General features: G+C 33.5%; 1 long non-coding RNA gene across 1 annotated transcript; it reads right to left on the bottom strand.

Annotated features, from left to right (window-relative positions):
* Window positions 1-1,491: 1,491 nt before the first annotated feature.
* Window positions 1,492-23,777, bottom strand: LOC105375909 (uncharacterized). The gene is made up of 3 exons (XR_001745963.2): window positions 23,695-23,777; window positions 4,106-4,171; window positions 1,492-2,900 (listed from the first exon to the last, which is right to left on the bottom strand). It is a non-coding gene; the product is annotated as an uncharacterized LOC105375909 (long non-coding RNA).
* Window positions 23,778-24,009: the final 232 nt, after the last annotated feature.

The raw sequence follows: 24,009 nt of genomic DNA, 5'->3' as shown, positions 1-24,009 counted from the left end.
ATATATCTGAGTCTCACCACATGTCCTGGTGCTTTGCAGTTTGTTAATAATATTTGTTGTGAAATTTGAAAGTTATTAGTACATTTTGGCAAACAATTTTTCCCTGTTTATATATTGGCCATAAATATACCATAAAATTTCCCATGAAACTCCATGTACGTAAGATATAGGCAATGTGGAACTCTTCTCCAGTAGAAGTTCCACAGAGTATGTTTTCATTTAATGAAGACAGAGACAATAATCAAAAATTCATAACTCTAACTTTGTTCTAATTTGAGTTGTGGTAGAATGGATAAGTTTATGTGTTTATATGCTAATTTTATTTTGCTTTGTATAAATTTGATCAATGTATCAGAAAATAAATGTTAATCAAATACATCATTGACAAAAGACTTTAGGTTTCACGTAATCAGTACATCAAAAAGTTTTGCACTCCCTTAACACAGTCTCCAATAAGCAAGTAAAGTAATATTTCAAAGAGAATTATCAAATTATATTATTTCCGTGCTTAAGTCCAATGGCTTCTCATTGGAATTGGAATACAAAACGAACTCTTTTTCTCAAACGGTCCACAAGACTCAACCTGATTTGGCCTTTGTTTACTTCCCAAGCTACATCTCCAGCACCAGCCTCTCATTAAAGGCTGCAACCATTCAATCAAACTTTCCTAGAACATCAACTTCATCCCCATATAAAGAATTTGTACTTGCTTGTTCTGTCTAGAATATTCTTCCCCTAGAACTCTGAATGGTCAGCAAATTCTCATCACTTGGGTCCAATTGAACTATTTACTTTTCAGAGGGAAAATAAAGCACTTCCTCAACCTACTCTATTTTGTCATTTTTTGTCCTTCAAAGCAGGGGTCCCCAAACTTTTTGGCATCAGGAACCAGTTTCATGGAAGATAATTTTGGCGAGGGGGGTGGTTTGGGGATGAAACTGTTCTACCTCAGATCATCAGGCATTAGATTCTCATAAGAGGCGCACAACCTACATCCCTCGCATGCCCAGTTCACAATAGGGTTCCTGCTCTTATGAGAATCTAATGCTGCTGCTGATCTGACAGCAGGTGGAGCTCAGATGGTAATGCTCTCTTGCCCACTGCTCACCTCCTACTGTGTGGCCCGGTTCCTAACAGGATACGGGCCAGTAATGGACAGAAGGGTTTGGGGACTCCTGTTTCAAAGCCCTTTCTACCATCTCAAATAATCACATGAGCTAGCTTCTCCATTTCTATTTTTATCACTAGGATATAAATTCTATAAGAGAAATTGGTACTCCTTTTTTTAATCGCTGTTTTTCCAATGCCTATAACAGCCAGTGTTACCTAGTAGATACTTATAGTAGTTGTTAGCATTTTGAAGTCTATGATAATAATCAACTTACTGCTAACTGGACATAACTGTCTTTAAGAATTTGGGACTGAAAAATTTATTGATTTTGAAAAAAATCAAACTTACCTTAATGTGAAATTTTAATATTATCTAGTTGATATTTAAGACATTTTAAAAAATATTGATAGACTTAGATTTTATGGTTTTCACATTTAAGCTGAATATGCATTCATTAAAAATGTGTTCACATTCAACAGGTTGAAACACACTACCTAGAAACTTAGAGATTTGGCTCCTGATACAACTGGCCCTGCCTCTGCCTCAATACTATGTATCAAAGGAATTATTACTTCCCATGGTTATCTGATATCAAAATAGATGGTTTAATTCAAGTTCCTGTCACTTACCTTGGTTAAGTTGCCTTATCTTCTTGTGCTTCAATGTCTTCATTATCAAAATGGAAATTACTATATAAATTCTGTATTTTGTTTGAGTACCAAATGAAATAATATTTTATTAAGTGAAAGCACTTTATGAAATTGTCTGCTCCTTTACATTTTTGTTATTATGCTATCTGTTTTGTCCATTTAGCATCTGTTTTATTTCTTAATTATTAATTTCCTAAGTTGTTTTATTACTAATAGGTGAGAGTGTTTAATAGTTAACATTTTTAGACAAATCTTTTTATGGTAGAAATCTAAGTAAATGAGACATGCACTTTGAAGATTAAAAAAAGTTGATATGTGCAATGAATTTGCATTTGAAGTGACAGAATTTCCTCTAAATTAGATTATATATTTCATAATGGTGTATGATTATAGAGAACAATGTAGTGCTCCACCAAATCCCCTCTGTAGGGATCAGCATCCATCCTCCAGCTGCTAGGAATGTTCATAAATGGCTGACGTCTCCCATTTGAGACCCCTCACTGGGAATCATGCAAGATTATGACCCCTTTCAGGAGCCAAAGCCTGGCTGACATGGAGATATAATGGCTGTGTCTCTTTTCCTCAATTTGAGACATCTCCAGAGCTCCTCTAGGGATCAGTTGATGCTTTTGTGGCATCAAGATTGGAGTTAGCTGGACCCACCCCTCCCCAGTCCCACCTTCCTGTATTTCCCAAGAACACTCCCTACAGACCTACACACAACTCTCTATCTCAGAATCCAATTTAAGACAACTGTTTTTGCAAAGATACCATCATGGGTAATATACTTTAATCTGGTTTCAAAATACAATGTAATTATGTCATTTGGAAAAGAAAAACCGATAAAATGTTTACATACTAGTCACATGCAAATTTTGGTAGTATTTGTTTTGTGTAATCAGTACATGCGAAGGCTATATACAGTTTTTCTGGTTAGAGTGTTGTTGACTCGTGTGGCTGACATATCAGTTTTTCATATGCTTTATTTATTCAAAAGATGAGAAGACCTATGTGACCATGTTTCTTAATGAACATTCATGAGATTTTCTTAGATATTTCTTGTCATTTGTGCTAATAGTCCTTGGTCTACACTTGCAAATCTGTACAGAATCGACATGCTGAGGCTCGTATTTATTTTCCTATGGAAAGAAGAGAGGGATTTGAAAGTCATTTTTATAATTTCCAACATGTGATATTATGCATTTTATTTTTAAAAACAGGTATCTAAATATTTGTCAGGGATGTGAGACAATATCCCTCAAATAACTTCCAAACAAAAAAGAAATATTCATTCTAGCAGTACTCAGGATGACCCTTGAAGAAACATGTACTTTAAATCTTGAGAAGAAACTTCTTGTACTTTAAATCTGAATTATCATTAACATTTCCTTTAAATTAAATGAGACTCTCCAGTCAAGTTTAAGCTCTTTTTATATACACTTTTACTACACAACATGCTTTTCCCTTGCAAAATTCATCACATGTGGAAATACATAATTTTATATTGTATATATCTCTTTAGTTTGATGTAAGCTCCATAAGGAACAGAAATATTTTTGCCTGTTTAGTTTTCTGCTACATCCCTCTATGATCTTCAAAGGTATCTGCTATATAGAAAGGGTCAATAAATATTTGCAGATAGTCTTTTAGGAAGCCTAGCTGTTGCCAACATATATATCTGGTCTTTATTTGATTAGGATGCTATGATTTATCTGATAATGTCAACAACTCAGTAGCATATGTATTTCCTATATGTATTTAGATAAACAGATGCAATTATGTTTTTATGGTTATCAACTGTGGGACAAAAGTGTTGTGAATAAGCTACTTTTAAGAATGTATCTAATTCATCTGAATTTATAGAAAAATCTAATCTCCTCAAATACCATCAGAAAGAATCTTCCTGTTTTCTCAAACAAAGTAGAAGGCACTTACATTTAGCAGTTTATGCATGAAATGAATTATTTTATAATTATCAGGATCTATGGTATCTTCAGATGAATGTTAGACTCATCTGTCCTAAAAGCTTCTTAGTGTTTTAAGAGTATAATGAAAAGTAATGCTATGGGGAATTTATATAATGAATATATTTTGTAAAATTAAAGATTATCTTGTCAGTTGATTCCCTTAGATTTTTTTTCTGTAAAGTTATTTTGAGATTTAGTTTTCTAATTTTCCATCTCATAGACTCTACTACATACAACACTATAGTACATAGAATATAGGACAAAGAATAAACATTCTTCATTACTTATCAGACTGTCACAAGTCTTACTATAGCTTTATTAATATTTTTTAATTTGACCTCTATCTGTAAAGAAAGAAATATGAAATTATAACTCACAAGAAAAATTTCATGACGTGTTACTATTTCTTAGAGTAAGCCCAATATATTTGGCTGAAGCATATCCTGGGTGAGATGATTTAAAAAGAGAAAAAAAACGGATATATTAAAATGAAACAGAAACAGGAAATTGAAATAGAATGAATAAGGACTTCTATTTCTGGAAAAATTAGACTTATTAGATATGCCTGTTGGGACAACAATTAGAAGTTTGTCATACACTTGGTTTGAAGAATTGTCTCTGTCCATTTGAGTCAACAGTTACCCATGCCTAATCATGCAGGACACTGTATTAGATTCTGAGAATATACAGAGAGAAAAAAAACAATGGTCTCTTCCCTTGGGGAGCTAAATAACAATACGGATAATTGGTTTTAGTCATTGAGAGAGACTACCAAGACTAATGAAGAATATACCAGTTTTATTTTTTTTTCAAAATTCAATTAAATCTTATACATGCATACCCCAGAGATATTGTGGGTTTGGTCCAGACTATCACAAGAAAGCAAATGTTTCATAAAAGCAAGTCACATAAATGTTTTGATTTCCCAATGCTTATAAAAGTTGTTTACACTATACTTCAGTATATTAAGTGTACATACATTTATGTCTAATAAAACAGGAATGTATCACAATTTTAAAAATACTTGATTGCTAAAAATTGCTTATTTTCATCTCAGCCTTCAGTGAGTCTTAGTTGTTGTTTTTTTTTTTTTGTTTGTTTTTTGTTTTTTGTTTTTTTTTTTTTTTTGCTGGTAGCAGGCTTTGCCTCCAGGTTAATGGTTGCAGACTGATCAGAGAGGTGATTGTTGAAGGTTGGGGTGGCAGTGGCAATGACTTAAAATATGACGACAATGAAGTTTGCCACATCATTGAACTCTTCCTTTCATGAAAAGTCTATCTGTAGCTTATGATGCTGTCTGAGATCATTTTGCCCACAGTAGAACTTTTCTCAAAATTGAAGTCAATACTCTCAGATCTGCCTGATTTAGCAGCTAAATTTATGGAATATCCTAAATCCTTTGTTGTCATTTCAGCAATATTCACAGTGTCTTCACCAGGAGCGGATTTCATCTCAGAAACCACTTGCTTTTCTCAATCATGAGAAGCAAGTCCTCATTTGTTCAAATTTTATCATGAGATTACAGCAATTCAGTCATATCTTGCGGCTCCACTCCTAATTCTAGTTCTCTTGCTATTTCCAACACATTTGCAGTTGCTTTCTGTATTGAAGTTTTAAACCCATTAAAGTCATCCATGAGGGTTAGAATCAACTTCTTCCAAACTCTTGTTCATGTTGATATTTTGACTTCTTTTCATGAATCATAAATATCATTAATGGCATTTAGAGTGGTGAATACTTTCCTGAAGGTTTTCAATTGATTTTGCCCAGATCCATCAGATAAATTCCTATCTCTGGCAGCTATAGTCTCATGAAATGCAGTTCTTAAATAAGAAGAATTGAAAGTTTAAATTATTCCTTAATCCATAGACTGCAGAATGGATGTTGTATTAGCAGGCATGAAAACAACAGTATTCTCCTTGCACATTTCTATCACAGCTCTTGGGTGACCAGGTTTATTGTCAAGGAGCAGTAATATTTTGAAAAGAATGCTTGCTTGTTTTGAGATGGAGTCTCACTCTGTCACTCAGGCTGGAGTACAGTGGCACAATCTTGGCTCACTGCAACTTTCACCTCCCAGGTTCAAGCAATTCTCCTGCCTCAGCCTCCTGTGTAGCTGGGATTACAGGCGCATGCCACCATGCCCAGGTAATTTTTGTATTTTTAGTAGAGATGGAGTTTCACCATGTTGGCCAGGCTGGTCTCAAACTCTTGACCTCAAGTGGTCCACCAACTTTGGCTTCCCATGCTGGAATTACAGGCGTGAGCCACTGCACTTGGCCAGAATCTTTTTATTTTTATAAGCAGTAGTTCTCAAACATGGGCTTAAAATACATGCTGTAAATGCCCGTACTATCTAGTCAGGCTTTGTTGTTCCATTTCTAGAGCACAGACAGAGTAGAGTGAGCAAAATTCTTAAGAGCCTTAGGATTTTCAGATTGGTAAATTAGCATTGGCTTCCACTTAGAGTCCCCAGCTCATTAGCACCTTACAAGAGAATCAGTTTTGAAGCTAGCTATTAATTTCTCCTCTCTAGCTTTGAAAGTCCTAGATTGCATCTTCTTACAATATAAGACTGTTTTATCTACATTAAAAATCTGCTATGTAGTGTAGCCACCTTCGTCAATGATCTTAACTGGATTTCTGGATAGCTTCTGCCGCTTCTACATCAGCACTTGCTTCTGCCGCTTCTACATCAGCACTTGCTTCTTCACCTTTTACTTTTTTTTTTTTTTTGAGGCGGAGTCTCGCTCTTTCGCCCAGGCTGGAGTGCAGTGGCGCTGTCTTGGCTCACTGCAAACTCCGCCTCCCGGGTTCACGCCATTCTCCTGCCTCAGCCTCCCGAGTAGTTGGGACTACAGGCGCCCGCTACCACGCCCGGCTAATTTTTTTTTTTTTTGTATTTTTAGTAGAGCCGGGGTTTCACCGTGTTAGCCAGGATGGTCTCGATCTCCTGACCTCGTGATCCGCCCGCCTCGGCCTCCCAAAGTGCTGGGATTACAGGCGTGAGCCACCGCGCCCGGCCCACCTTTTACTTTTATGTTATGGAGACACCTTTCTGCCTTAAACTCATGAACCAATCTCTGCCAGTTTCACACTTTTCCTTCTGCAGCTTCCACATCTCTCAGCCTTCATAGAACTGAAGAGAGTAAGGACCTTGCTCTGGATTAGGCTTTAGCATAAGGGAATGTCGTGGCTGCTTGGATCTATCCAGACCACTCAAACTTTCTTTATATCAGTAATGAAGCTGTTTCACTCTTTTATTACTCATATGCTCACTGAAATATCACTTTTAATTTCATTGAAGAGCTTTTCTTTTGCATTCACAACTCAGCTACTTGACACAAGAGGCCTGGCTTTTGGGCAATCTCAGCTTTTGACATGTCTTCCTCACTAAGTGTAATTATTTCTAAATTTTGATTTAAAGTGAGAGATATTTGACTCTGTCTTTCAGTTGAACACTTGGGGTCTATTGTAGCATTATTAGTAGGCCTAATTTTAATAATATTGTGTCTCAGAAAATAGCCTGGAAAGGATAAGAGAGGGACAGGAAAAGCACTGATTGGTAGTGGTCACAACACCAACCACTAAACATTTGTTGACTAAGTCTTCCAACATACATGTATGTGGTTCCTGGTGCCCCCAAACAATTACAATAGTAACATCTAAGACTACTAATCAAAGATCACCATAACAGATTTAATAATAATAAAAAAATTGAAATACAGTGAAGATTACTCAAATGTGCCAGACACATGATTTGAGCACATGCTGTTGGAAAAATGGCACTGATAGGTTTGCTCAACCCAGCGTTGCCATAAAACTTCAATTTATTAAAAAATGCAATATCTTCAAAGCATAATAAAAATAAAGTATAATATAAAGAGATATGTCATAATATTGTAAAATTCAAACATAACAGAATTGGGTGAATGCTGGTCTTGAAGTTAGAAATCCTGGATTTAAAATTCTAACCTGAGGTTTATCAGCTATGTGACATTAGCAGAGTTGAATCATCTCTCTGAAACTTCAGTTCCGTTGTTAGATGCTGACATTAAGATTGTGTTATATGATGTATGAAAGTTTCCAATAGCATTTTGTTAAGACATATTACATACTTATGTTAATGTAGGTTCAATGTTGTATATTTAAAATGTTACCAATGATTCTAGAAATATAATAGATAAATGTTCAGAATAAATACAATAGATGAAAATAACATTCAGAAACCATCAGTTAAAAATGAGTCTAAATTGATTTTGCTCTTTGTAATTCTTAGGTTTATGATTCTGTTCTGAGGTATGATGATTCATCTTTTGTACTAATCTTTTCATTAAGGTTTTCTATGCTAAACAGTAAAAAAAAAATAGGTTGCTAAGTTCCTTATTAAAGATTTGATTTATAAAGAGAAGAAAGAGAAACTAGAGTCTTCAACCAAATGCACTAACCTCAAAAATAGAGCTGCTTCCGAGAGTTAAACCTCCCCAAGCCTTCTAACTCCAATTTATGATAGAATATACATATTATTGAATATGATATGAATAGCATCCTTAGTGGTTTTCTAGGGAATAGGATAACATTGCAAGATAACTTAAACTCACTAAGTTAACATGAAGATGGAATCTTAACTTGAATTTAGTTTTAACATAGGTTATATTTCTTTAAATGGCATATCGTTTATTATAGATCTTCATTTAATAACTATTCACATTGACATTTGGGTAGTTAAACATAACACAGCTTGAAAGTTTTTTTTTTTCTTCAAAGTCTTCATTCATGCATCTGAGTAAAATACAATCCAAGACCAAGTGAAAGGGGCAAAGTTTGAACAATAGTGCTTAAATAATTCAACCATTTGTCATTAGATGACAAATATCACACTTCATATGGAGACAGTAATTCATAGCTATCTCAGGAAATTATTAGGAAAAGCCTAAACCATAGAATTGCATGCTTAAAAAACATGAAGCACCTATCCTGATATACATATGTATATATGTATACACACACACTCACACACACATGCACACACACATATATATAATGAGACTAGTATGTATATCTGTAGCCTTCAATTTCTAAGTCTTCTCTTCCTGTACTATTGATGATTGGCCTAAAATGCAGACTCAGACTTAGAAAAGAATAGAGCAGTGTAGGGTAGGGAAATTAGATTGTAAGTAGAACCATGTTCAGAATAGAAAGCAGATGCATCCTCTGAGAAAAAACAAAAAGAATGTGAACTCTTGTCAGTAGCAAATTAATCACTTTCTTTTTTCTTACGGGGATTATGTTAAAACTAACTATACATAAAGTAGTTTGAAAAATACTAAATTTGTAGAGACTGCAAATTTGAAGGGAATAGTTCTAGGCAATCCCCCAAAAACAAATGTTTCTTTTCTCCACAGATATTAATAATATTTCACATATGATGCTGTTGAGCTTTGGAGGAAATCCTCTGTATTCTTGAGGGCCGGAGCCAGGCAATAATCCATGTGCTGTTGAAACTTACCACAAAAATCTTCCTTTGGTAGTTGCCGGGTACTACTTTATATCCATTTATCAAGGCACAAATAAGGGCAATATTCTCCAAATATATTAACCTGTTTAATCTTGTATCCATCATGTCCCAATACAGAGGATAATGGTGGAGTTGCTGTTATTAGAAAATTTGTAGCATCCTTTATCTGACAATAAAAATTGTCTAGGTTGAGAGTGTCTACCGATTATTGAGAACCACAACATGTCAGGCAGAGTGCATGCCCTCTACAGAATTGTCTGCCCTCTCCTAACAGCCCTAGAAGGAAGACATTATTATCTCCAAATTACAGATGAAAATGCTGAGTCTTAGAAGTAAAATAATTTGTTCAAGGTGGCAATAGTTTATAAGGATTCAAACTCAGGTCTGTTTGCCTCAGCAGTCCATCAAGAGGTGTTACTCAATTAGATGAGTGGTTACTCCATGGTTTTTAAAGAAAACAAATTGGTTTTTCCATATTTAAATTTTAAATATTTTTAATAAACCAAACTGAATTTTATGTGGAGATTACCATACATAGTGTTTACAAGTATGTACAGTAAAATATACTTTTTTTATCACCACATTTACAAATTGTAACTGTAGCATTATGATCTGCTTACTGGTATAATCTATAGCTGTTGAAATAATTTACATGGTCTGATATTAAGAATAGGTCCTGTATTACTATTGAAAAGAACACTTTGTTCATCTTTAGTCTACTTCCTATATAAGTAAGGTGTTCTGTTCATTTATCTGATGCGGTCAAATCCAACTAAGAACATTTGAGCCTACTTATCTAAAAGCTTCTTTTGTGCAGAGCAGCATTTCTCCTGAGCCCTGCCAAGCTCAATTTTGAGTGTTACAGTGTAATTTACATGGTCTGATATTTAAAAGGGGAAAAATAAATTAACTATGTGCTACCATTTGGCTAAAGAGGTTTTTATTTCAGAAAAAAATAAATATGTTTTGGATAAACAAATCTACATTAACAAGTGCTTTATCATACTACTCAGCAATTTTGTTCCCTCAAGGCCACTTATTAATTATAGGAAGAAAAATAATACACTACATTTTACCTAAGCAAAATTTATTTCTTGCATGAGCAAAAATTTACTTTAACCTAAAGCACAGAAAACATACATGAAATATTCACCAGAGGGTAAGAATTGCTTTGCATGTTACATTCTTGCTGCTTATCTGCTGAACTTCAATTCTCACATTCATACTAAGTTATGCGAAATGGAAATATAGAATCGTTTTCTAAAGACACTTTTATAATACTCAGATTTCATTCAATAGAACTCCTAATTAGAAGAATCCCCAGGTTAGTCAGAAAATCAGTATTCCAGTCCCAGATCCACCACTAGACTTGTAGTTCACAGACTTTCTCTATTTTCAATGTGACCTCCTGCAAGCCTAGGATATTGATATATATTCCTATTCTGTTTGGATAATCCAAACTAAAATTCCAATGGATATAGGAGGCTAACATGCAATAGAAATACAAGTTGGCATTTTTGTTTGATTTTTTTCCAGCCCTACTTCCTCCTTCTCTTCCTTTTGTGGCCATTTGTTACATACTACTATAAGTTCCCTTTAACAATGGGCTTAGTACCATGGCACATTTACTTCTCTAGAGTTATACAGTTGAGTTTAAAAGTAGCCTTAGGCTTCCAGACTCATCAGGGAAAAAACTAAAAGTTGTTCCATGCCAAATATTGTGTTCCCAAAGTGTCTCCTTTTTGCCACACCAGGCTAATGTGATTGTCTCACTAGCAAAAAGCATCTTGAAGGTCGGAGGGCAGTAGAGACTTCATGAATAGGAGAAATCCATTTATTCCAACAGAGGATATTTTATTTCAAAATTTTCTTTTTGTTTCTTGACACAATGCTTCCAAAGTGGGAAATTAGACCAGAAATCCTGACGAATTCGTGTTTGAGTGCATAGTTTGAGACTAAAAGTAAGTTTACCTAAAAACACCTTTAGAGAACAAACTAACCCAGCTGTGTAAGGTCATAAAGGAAGCACAACTCTATTTGAACTTCAAGGATATAAAGACCTACCTACTTGTTTTCTCCAAAATAATTAAGGCTGATGATTTGACACAATTATTCTGGGCTCTTAAATTTGTCTCTATGGCTCTTTCAGTTGAGTTCCTATTTTTTCCAAAATAGGTCATGCATCCACTGTTCCCTCAGAAGTATCTGGTCAGCATGGTGGAACAGGATGAGTCTCCCCTCTTAAAGTTTTTCCCATTTTAATATTCCAAATAAACAATCAGTATAAAGCCTGGCACACATTGAGTCCTCACTAAATGAGAAGCCATATATTTAATTATTATGCTATTTTGAATTCTCATTAGAGTCTCTCTTTTTCTAATAATTTCACCTTAGTTCAGGCTTCAGTAAGATATAGCCTCTCTTACAATATTTGATTATTTGATTACTCAAGTGTCATCAACATATTTATTGTCTCCACACTTGGATTTGCTATTGGGTATCACAAGACTTTCAAGTTTACATGGCAGTAAGCTGTGGAGAGTTCATTCATTCATATTTGTAGCTTCCAACATATATTTTGTAGAAATGAGACATCTGTGATGCTCTGGATAAAGGTGTTCAGTTATGTATGAGTTTGACCTTCACTTACATTTGAAGCATATGAATATTTACAGTGTTTGGAGGTCTCCTGCCCAGGTGGGGAGGTAATCAGATAATGTTCAATTAAGTGAATGATTGGATGAAATTGGGAACATTTCCAAGGTCATAAAAAAGGACACATCAGGCTCTAGAGTGAGGAGGAGAAAGCAAACTCAAACAAACAGAAACAAATTTCTCCATCAGCAGTTGGTATATTAGCAAATAAAAACATGACTTCAATTAGGTAGATGGGTAAGGCAACATGTCATAGCAACAATCTTTACTGTGAACTGTGATATTTAAGTCTAAAGCCTCTCTTGGGTCTGTATTTGTACTTGCTTTATTCTTTTAAACATGTTTTTCTTTAGAAAATTAAATTAATTGGTCTCTGAGTGTATACTTCCAAGTTCTTTTGAGATGTTGTCCAGTTAATTATGCTACATCAGCCTGGGCTCCCCTTTTACCTTAATTAAAATCAAGAATAGCCCAGATGTCTGGAAGTCACCACTAGTTTGAATCCACCTCTGCTAAGTGTTATTGGAATAAAGTGAAAGGAAGATGCCCAGATGGCATGACAGTGCAAGAGACACTAACTCAGCTTCATGATTCCAGGAAAGTAGAGAGATTTAGCGGCAACCATGATAAAGGATAGAATAATTTTAACATATAAATTGGATTAATTTAACTTTTCCAGGAGCAGAACAAACATGGGAGGGAGAGGATCTTTGGTGCCTATATTAGATAGCTCAATGACTCTCCCACTTCAGTCATTCCTGTAAGTGAAGCTGTCAATGTGATCAAGAGTCAAGAGGAAGGCCAAAAGAAAAGATCCAGGACAAATCTCAAAATTAAAAGAAGAGAAAGAATGTAAGGTGTCTGAAAGGAAAAGTGCAACTGTAGTTTGGACATGTATTCTACTAGCCTTGTATTCATTGTTATAAAGTTCCCAGAGTTTTTATCACAGCCCTTAAAATGTCCCCTTCTCCAGTCTTCAGAAAGCAGGCAAATCATAAAAAGATAATAGATTCCTGAACAAAAAATGTTCTCAGAACTGGAGAAAGCTGCGCCATCCAAGTGCTTTCACATTTTTGATAGCCAAGTCTCTTTTAATATAAAGAAAAAATGATAAAATCCATGAAAGATATAGCCTATACTGTCTAATATATATGTGTGTATATATAATTTAAGTATAATACATATAATTTATATAACACAATATATGATTTATATATTTAAATTTAACATATTTTTCATATATTTTTTATCTGACTGCCCACTAGGATATAACCTCCTTGAGGGCAGGAACTTTGTTGTTTTATTTGATGTTCCTGCATAGGGGTTAGATCAGCATTAGGCACATAGTAGGACCTAAATAAATAGTTGTTAAATGAATTTAACATTTTCAAATTCATTTTAACCTGGTTATCTTTGTCCAATAAATGCTCAACATATTGAGAATGTAAATTTCCTTAAGCACAACTTAGTAATGCTGCCTTCTCATCTTCCCTCAATAGTTTTACCAGTTTTTCACAATCCTGCTCAAAGTACTCCAAATCCCTATCTTACTAGTTTTATTAGAAGATTTTATTTCAAATGACATTCTCATTTTCCTGAGATGCCCTCAAGTTTTTCCTACATCCCTATCACCCACGCTTGCCTGTTCTCAAATGTAAAGGAGATCCCTCTAAGTATGTCTTTACATGTCATACATATCTGCTACATCTTTTAATATCTTGCTCTATCAATTACCTAGTTTATTTCTTGTATCATCCATGCCCACTGGCTCTTTATTTTCTGTATATCCTCAAGTTCAAGTCTACGTTGCATAAGGACCTAGTCTTCTCTCACCCCTTTTTGTATTGTATGCATTATGGAGTACAAAGTGTTGTTATAATATATGTATACAATGTGGAATGACTAAATCAATCTAATTAGCATATCTATTACCTCAAATATTTATCATTTTTGTGGTAAGAACATTTGAAATTTACTCTCTTAGCAATTTAGAAAGTGTAATACATTATAACTAACTATAGTCACCATGCCATGCAATAAATCTCAAAAGATTTTTGAGATCTCACACCTTTTAATTTACTACTATACTCTATCTGTCTTCCTTTTTTTCTCCCACCAAATACTCAAAACAAAATTGTCAGCACACTTATTTCAGAATTTTTTGCCATCTAGCATGTCTGGTTACCTCAATAAAGCTTCCATTTACCCAATCCATTTCTCCCACTCATAGATGCATTGTCTGAAATTATTCTCAAAAGATGCTAGGGGTCAGGCCAGCATTTCAGCATGTTTTACAGTGAAGAGAAACAGATTGGACCAGACACAGAGCTAAATTCATTCTCTTCATACGCTACTAATCTAACCTCTAAGAAAAGATGTCAGTGCCTACAATGGTTCAGGAAGATAACAATGAACGTGAACCCATGCAGTGGGGGAAATGGGCTTTATTATTACACCACTAGGCATAGTAAGGTGGGATGCACACTATATAATAGAGCATTCATTTGGTGCCATGCAAGCACAGAGTATGTGAGATAATAGTTCATTCTGGAATGGGTGAGGAGGCAGGCATAGGTGGGAGCTAAACTAAAAGTCAATTTCTAAGAATGATTGGGAAAAAGCCAGGTGAAGTGTTCAGGGAAAAGAGAAAGTAAGACTATTCCTTCTCTGCCATTACTATGATCATATATGCTTCCCTGCTAATGACTCTTCATAATCTCTCTATTACATCTAAGCAAATTGTAAATTCCTAAATCTAGTATAGAAGACTCCCCCAATTGTGGTTTCAACTTGCCTGTCTAGTCATTTAAATATTCTCTAGGAAATGATTTACCATTTTCTAGAGCAAAAAAACATGTACTTTCTCATCATTGTGATTTTGCTCTTTAGCCTTCTGTCCATGAAAAATACTCTGTCAAATATTTACCCATTTTGAAAACATAATTCCCAATTATTTCTTCTTTAATAACCATTCTGAAAGGAAGATGTCACTCGTTGTTTTATACATGATTTTCTTTTATGCTTAAGTAACATATTACATATTATCCAGTTTTGTGAACACCTTTTTCCATGAAATTTTCCCTACTAGTTTATGAGCACTTCATGGTGAAGAACCATATCTGAGTTATCTTTTGTGTTTCTCACAACCTATGAAAACAATATCTTTAAAATACTACCTTTTCAATAAATTGTGAACCAATATACAGCTTGATTAATAAATTTTCCTAAGAAATATAGATCTGGTCATTTTGTTTTAGTGAAGAAAGTAATTCAAAATTTTAGCCTTGTACTTCCATGATTTTATATAATTCTTAGTTATCTAATTAATTTAGCACATAGCATTACCCCAAAAACAAGCTGAAAAAGCTAGATTCACTACAAAGGCTAAGGGCTTGCAATGAATCTCCTATAATTATCTCATATGATTTTTGCAAACGAATACAAAATGTGCCAACATGGAAAATATCATGAATCACTCTAGAAAGCAAAGTCCCAAATTACTCAAGGTAAACACTCCTTTCTCTTGAAAGAGCTCCAAGTATTTGAAAAAGAGATGAAAAGGAAAAAATGTTCACTAAATTTATATTCCATTAGGTATATTGAGAAATAGGCTTTTTTTTTTTCTTTTTGAGACAAAGTCTCACTCTGTCACTGAAGCTGGAGTGCAGTGGCATGATCTCGACTCACTGCAACTTCCGCCTCCAAGGTTCAAGCAATTCTCCTGCCTCATCCTCCCAAGTAGCTGGGATTACAGGTTCATGCCACCACACCCAGCTAATTTTTGTATTTTTTAGTAGAGACAGGGTTTCACCATATTGGTCAGGCTGGTCTTGAACTCCTAATCTCAGGTGATCCACCCACCTCAGCATCCCAAATTGCTGAGATTACAGGCATGAGCCACTGTGCCCAGCCAAGAAATAGATTTTTATGGTCATAGTTGAGAAAAACTATTTAAAAGTTCGGAGAGGGGCGTATTGTATTTTTCAATCCTAGCCATTATTTCCTAGATAATGTTTAATCTATAAAATATACTAGCAACCCGGATTTATACTGTTTTCTTGATGACCTTTCATAAGCTCTTTTCATAAAGCCTATGAACTTCTAATAGTAGTAATGAGTTTATACACTTTACTTTTAGATTATTATAGTGGCATCAAAAGACCTCTGTTGGATATTGTATTTCCCCTAAATGCTGATTCGACAGTTTATTGCTCACCACTGGCCAGGCAGTAGGTTTCTCTTAAATGCTACACATCTAAAAGACAATAGGAGAGGTTATAGAATTTTCATGTTAGAAATATCACAATAGGCAGGTGTTTCCATTCATAAAGTATGTCTTGAACGAAAACTACCTTTTATCATCTGACTGCCCCATTTTGAAATTATTCTCTGTTGTTAATTAAAAGTGGCTACCATTTGATTAAACTCAAACATGTGTCACATATAGAAAGTATAGATGATGTTCATAGAAAGAAGTCAAATATATATGAAGCCAAATATATATTTAGATCTAAAACTCTCATTTCTGGGATCTGTTTCTTCACCCTGATAATTCGCCTGATTCTGGTCTCTGTTTTGTTTTTTTTATTTAACTCTTTTGGCAAAAAGCCTCCTAAGCCTGCAAACTCACAGTAGACAAATACACATGACTTAGTTTAGAGAAGGGAAAGTTTCAATTAACAAGGGGAAAATGTCTTTTTTGCGTAATTTAAATTATCATTATTATTATAGGATATGTACTAAAATACTTATTTTTCAAGGTGCTAATTAAATTGCCACAAATGCTAAGCCTTTAACTAGGTTATAAAAAAATATATGATGAAGTAGTTGTGATTTAAGAAACAATGATTCCATATAGGTATTTTCTGTTCAACTTTTTAACAAAAAGTGTTTTTCTTTCTTATTACACAGCCTGCAGTAATAAGTGAAATATAATCCTAATTAATTTTTCCTCCAGCTGTATATAAATCAATAGCTGCACCATCCCAAAGGAAACACACACTGCACGGTCCTCCAGGTTTCTAATGAATGCAAATGGAATGACCTTTTTCTGACAACTATGAATATTGTTTCACAATTTTACCATTAAAATCGCTGCTATCAGCATTTCATGCAGTAAACATGGAGACTACAATAGTTGTAAATAACTATTCATTACGGTAAGAAGGGGATGGAGAAAACTAAGCCTAAGTTATACAACTTTTTTTCTTTCTTTCTTTTTTTTTTTTTTTTTTTTGAGACAGAGGAGTCTCACTCTGTCGCCCAGGCTGGAAGCTAGAGTGCAGTGGCATGATCTCGGCTCACTGCAACCTCTGCTTCCCAGGTTCAAGTGATTCTCCTGCTTCAGCCTCCCAAGTAGCTGGGACTACAGGTGCGCACCACCACGCCCTGCCAATTTTTTGTATTTTTAGTAGAGACAGGGTTTCACTGTGTCAGCCAGGATGGTCTCGATCTCCTGACCTCGTGATCCGCCCGCCTCGGCCTCCCAAAGTGCTGGGATTACAGGAGTGAGCCACTGCACCAGGCCAGATTATACAGCTTTTAAGCCCCAATCCTGATTTTTGTATTTTCTTTTGCTAAAGAAATTCTATCTTAAATGTAACCAATCTCCATTTTGCTTCTTTCTTCCCTGGTCTAGAAGGAAACACATTACAATAATTCAACGTTTTAAATTAGGTCATTTAATTAAGAAGTTAAACTTGGAGACATTTTTGTAAATAAAGTAAAATCTCCCAATCAGTAATATTGTAAAGACTTAAATTACCAGGAGACTATGGTTATATTCCATCGGAAATGTATGTTTGGAAAATCCTCTTGTCAAGACACAATGCTGTTTGTTTAATTAGTATGTAGATGAATTTAGAAACTATGAAAACAGATAATGACATAAAGATGACACCCTATGGCACCTTGAAAAAAGGTAAGGAGTAATTAAATCACAATATTGTCTATCTTGTCTGAAGAATCAATTTGTTCTAAAATATAATATAATAAAACTACATGTATTTATGTGAAATTATGTTGTTTCCCACAAAACTTCATTATAGTCATGAAGATGTCTCATTAAGTAGAAGAAGTTAAATTCAAAATTTATAAGAAAAGAAGTTAAAAATGTTAAAACTAATTCTGCTGGTCATAGATCTATATACTGAAAACTCCCACTGGAGTTCACTAAAGCCAAGAATATAAAGTGAGCCAGTAGAATTCAAATGCTTTCATTAAGAATAGAACTCCCCAAATTCCAACAAGTTTTAAAAAGGAGTCACAACAAAAGTGTATTCCCTTCCTATAACATTCCAAAAAGTGGTCTTTCCATCCCCTGTTTTATAATTAATTTTTATGCTTTTGCAGAGACTACCATCACATAATTATTTGATATCCTAAACAGCTATTAGTGATATAAGTTTGTGTAAAATATATTGATGGAGAGATACTAATTTATTTTGGTAAGTATTTGTATTACTATTTTAATATAAAGTAAACTTTCTTATGCTAGGCCTGTCTTAAACCCAATTCAACAATTTACTGAAATCATTAAGAAAGCATTTCTACTACTGTTGTTTGGCAGTATCATGCATAGACAGCACTTTTTAGCTGCATTAAACAATCTCCACCTGATGACATCTCCTGAAGATGTCTATACTCTCACACCTGTAATGCTTGCATGTTCAAAATGAATCCCTGCTACATCTCACTCAATATTGATCTTGAAGGCATTTCTCCCAATCCTTTTCCCAGTGTGGTCACTGAACAGTATCAGAGTTCAATAGGAAGATCAGCTGCTCATCCACTTTTTGCTAAAGCAATTTGTATTATGGATTTATTTTAGCAGTCTACAGTGGCAGTTGCTGTTTTTACTATTTAAATGCTTTGATTATCTGACCTTGCTTACTTTATCTTTCTAAGTGCTATGCATGGGCTTTAAAATTGATCAATAAGTGGGGATTCCTCTACAGTGTTACGCTGAAATCAATCTCAATTCAGGCTTTTGTATTTTATGCTTATTATTTGATCTGTCTTAATTGTGTTTCTTATTCTCATAAGTTCAAAACATACTTCATTACGCAGGTAAGAATCTTCTATTAAAAAGCCACACAAGTTATGAAAATAACCTATATTATTTGATTCATTTTTTAATGTGAATAAGGAAATAATCAATTCCTAAATATTTTTTCAACCATTTTTGTTTTATTTAAAAATATGTATTCCATTAGGGCAAAAAACATATTTACGTATATGCAAGTAACTAATTTTGCAACACATCAATGTGCTCCATTAATTATAGTGCTGTGGAACTTCAACAACCACTGTCTTTACATATTGATTGTACATAAAGGTGCTGATAATACTTATTATACAATAAATTAAAGCTCTATGGATGGAAAATCACAGTACATTCTCAATAGTTGTATCTTGAAAATATGTACACAACCAACTACAAATGTATTAAGTATTCTAAAAATTATTCAATGAAATGAGAAGATATATCAGTTTCACACTTTTACTAATAAGAAAGAATATTTTACTCAATCTATCGTTTTCAATTAAATGAGCAGTAAATTACCAGCTGAAAATGCTTTGAATACTTTTTAAATTACATACAAATTTTAGAATCAAAATTCTACTTTAATTATCAATCTTAAATAAAAATAAACTCTTAAAATTACCTAAATCAAGTAAAAACATTATACAATATAAATTATCTTACTTAACTGTTAAAAATTATTGCTAAATTTGGTGTAATTTAATTGTATTTTATATCTTCTGGACTTGTGTAGTAATATGAAGCTGCTAGACTTTTCAAAGTCAGAAATATAAGATATTCAGAGAGATGAGCTTTTAAAAAGGAATTGATGTAATATTTTAAAACATTCCATTTTCAAACCTAATTTAACGTCTAACTATTTGTCACCAGCTCTTATATGAAATCTTTTCCACATACATAGGTATAAAAATCTGCCATTTGTTCTAGTGACCAAAAATGCAAAGTAGTAAAGAACTTGAGATAAATAAACATGATTATACACAAAATATTTGCAATATGTTTATCTGTGCAAATGCCACATACTTTGCTTAGGTAAATAAAATTTTCACTGAACTATAGAAATACCACATATGTTCAATATGTATATATTCACATTTTTATACTTTGAAATGTTGGCCAAAATGATTTAGTACTTAACAGTTTTCATTCCATACTAAATTATAGACTATTATAATCATAATTTTTCTCCTACTGCTCATATTAAATAAGATATAACATATAAATGCTTAAAAACAAAGCCAGCACAAAATAATTCATTTTGATGGTTACATGCATGAATTCGAAGTATAAAAATTAAGATTCTTAAGCAAGAAAAGAATGAGAAAAATATGAAGAAGTTTAATTACCAAATAGCTGCCATAATGATATTTCCAAAACTGTTATAACCAGATAGTTTCTTTTTACTATTTGTGGTAGAGTATCACTTGAGAAAAATCATTTCCCGGAAAGTTACACACCTCTGCAGAATACAGCCCTGGCGAGACATGTCCATACTTTTTTCCTCAAGTGGGTAAATGTTAAAGGAGAAGAATCCAAGTTTCATGATGCAGCAACACAAAGCTTGGAAGTGAAAATTATGTTGCAGCGGAGTCTTGAAAATATGACTGTAAAAGTTAATCAATAAAATGTCTATTCCTGTCTATTCACTGGAGGCCCCAGCTGCATAGCTTCACTCAATCGATACTACAAATTATTACGATTTCCAGGTTCCCACTGGACATTCAGAACAAATCTTTCAAGTGTAACAGGCTTATACTGAGTGTATGGTGTGTGTTCTCTACATTTAGTTCAAAAAGCGGAGGGAAAAATAAAACCTAAATCCGATGTGTTCTTCAAAATTCAACTTTATGGATTAAAAAACTTGAGGGTCACATTTTAATAACTAAAAAGTCTTCCTTTTGATTACCAATTATTTTTTACATGTTTCTTTTTAAACTTTTATATTTAGTTAAGAAATTACAGCCTAGTAATAGATGTTGGTGGTATAGAAACCTGGGTGTTTCTGAATGACTACTGCAAAGTCAATGAATGAAGGAAATTATTTTGAGGTAATTATTTGTCCAAAAAAATTCCTAAGATGCATTACCATTATTAGGAAGAAATGTGTAGAAACCTGCATATATTTTAAATTATAGTAGATCCCTTAAAATACAAATTCTACTTCTTATTTTTATGACTAATTCCAACACATTTTAAAAAATCATTTCAGTTTTTCTATTATTTTTTGCTTAAATAAAAAAACAAAATTTCATAAAAGTGTTTCTTGTATTTGAAAAAAAATGCCCCAGAGTGTTGTTTTCTATTGAGATCCTCTTATCTCTGCAGCAAAATTCTACTGTCATTGCAAACCCTAGAAACTACTCAAGTCTTTGACCATACCTTTGTGCTTTATACATAACACCCTGCATCACTTCGTCAAACTCCAGCCTTTGCCAAATAAGGGAGGATTGGTTGAGGGAAATAACTATAATGCTTTAACGTCTTATGATACCTGGCTTGTCTTTTTACTGACTGGTGAACACCACAGTGTCCGGCACTGCCCAATACCAAATCATTTGGTTAATTTGATCAATTTAATGCCACTTGCTTATTCAGAGGAGAAAAATAAACAAAAGGAAGTCATTTTTAGGCCAGAAAGGATTTGATTTTGTTTCACATTTACACTGTAACATATTTTTTCATGTCTAGATACACACGTCTCACATGTAGGCATATCCTACAACAATATGATATTAAGGCTATTTTTTAAAGGAAAAGTGATCTTGTTTCTCCAAAGAAATCATCATTTTGATTATGATCATTTTTCAGTCTATTTAACAATCAGTAACATTTTCTGATAACAGGGCATATTAATATTCATAATTTATGACTTTTGAGATATTCGTTAAACTGTTGCAAATAGAATTTAAAATACTGTTGTAATTCTACCCTTCTTAAATTGTAGCTGATATTTGTATACCTCACCAGTGCTTTCACATTGAAAAAGAATATCCTACTTAATTTCATACTCAAGCAGTACTGGAAAATAAAATAGATAAGTACAGATAAAGCACATACAGCTGAAGTTTGATCACTCAGTGTATTTTAACTGGATGAATCACAGCATGATTTTCTTATAAAATCAAATCCTAGAAGCAGGTCATTACATGCCAGTTTCCAGATCAAAAATAAAAATTTTTGTGAGTGTACTAAAAATGTGCCTTTATATTGACACCTAATTTTAAAAAGTGTCATTATTTTATAACATTAACTTAACATCAAACACTGTCATTAGCTTCAGATGTTTGTAATCATTTTTATATATTTCTTGTTCTCTATATCATAAGCATATAATTCCCCAGTATAATTTAGCTATTTTTAAAAATCATAATATTTATAACAGTAGTACATTACCTTAGTAATTCACTAAGAAACTTCGCCCGATATGCTTTTAATTCTTAATGTGAATTTCTACTTTTAATATTTGCTAAAGGTAGCTTTTTGTTATCTGAAGTAAGGCATCTGGCTAAAGGTACATGAAGAGCAAACAGTTTATCTGAGTGTTTATCTTTATTTAGAAGCATGTAAAGTGTCAATCTAGATTGTAGAATTATTTTAAATGCCTGTAATATTAAAAGTTTGTATTAAAAAACAGAAATAAATTGGTCAGATTTAAAAATATATTTCAACAGAGTTTCATAAATTATAAATCACAAGGTTACTTAAACATTCATAATATATTGAAATGATATTGATAGACAATATCAAGATATTCTGTAAGCCATGTAAGTTTAAAATTTGATTTCCAAAGATCAGTTAATAGCAAATGCGCATTTTAGTTCTGGCCTCCGGACTGTGTTCAAAGGTATGAGTGACAGGAGAAAAAAAAAGTTTAGTTATGTGTGCTTTTCCTGACTGTGATTACTCAATTTAACCAAAGTTCAATGAGCAAAGTGTAATTCTTGACAAATAGAGTAAAAGAGAAAGACAGAGTGGGGCCGATGTAGGTATTCATGTTGACTATGTTACTTTCATTATTATTTATAATAGCAGACTAAGAAAACCAAGAAAAGGACAGAAAGGATAGAAGATTTAATGACAACACTCAAAATGGAAATTCTCTAACATTTATTTGAAAAATAATAAAATTTAAAAGCATTGTATTAGGTATGATCATTACATAAATACCTAGATGATCAAAGCAGATATTCAATACTAGAAGATGTTTCACTAAGAATAGTTTCCATGAATGTTTCAAAATTAGCATAGATTTTTATTGCTTTCTTCACAGTTTCTTACATGCCTTAATGGTCTGACCAAAAAGTCTACTCTAAACGTCTCTCAGTTTAATAGTGTCTTGCTTAGAGCAGCTACTTTTACAAAAAAGAAAGCCAACAAGAGCCATATGTAACCTTTGGACTCCAAAAGGAGAAAGATGAGAATGCCATTGGCAGATAGGTGCTACAGAAACACAGTGTATTCTTTCTCTTGTACATCTACCTTGAACATTTCTTGACAGTTAATAACAAAGTTGACAACGACATCATTATTTAGAATCTGTAATAGAACTGTTACAATTTTTAACATGTGCCATTTTAGATAAGTCTGTATCATATTTTGGAGCCAATAATATATTATGCAAGCTAGCATATATACTCACAACTTTTGTAAGACAGAGAGAGTTAAACATTTAGCAACTAAAGTCAAAAGGACTGACTTGATCTCAGTATGTAAAGTAAAACTTTCTGAAATACTAAAAAACAACTCACTTGTAATCATTTTTTTTCTTCTTCAGAAGCAATAATCCCTTCTGTCACTGTCTTCAGCTCTGCCTGGGGTTTTCTACTGTTCTGTTCTTGGCGAACTGTTTCTGCTATTTGCTCAGTTAGCTGCTCTTGAGTAGCTTTCAAGCTGGATTCCATTAGAAGAAGTTTTTCATCTTGACTGGCAAGTTCTGGGGCTGAAAGATAAAACAAGAACATTGCTTTTTTAAAAAACCAAGCTAATGTGTCTTGTTTTCCTTTTGTTTTTAGTTTAAATGTAATGCAATGTAACTTTGAGAAAGATTTAAACAGATCCTTGTT

The sequence above is a fragment of the Homo sapiens genome, chromosome 8, assembly GCF_000001405.40.
Source record: "Homo sapiens chromosome 8, GRCh38.p14 Primary Assembly".
In the NCBI taxonomy this organism is placed as follows: Eukaryota; Metazoa; Chordata; class Mammalia; order Primates; family Hominidae; genus Homo; species Homo sapiens.
This window is presented reverse-complemented; position numbering and strand designations above follow the sequence as displayed.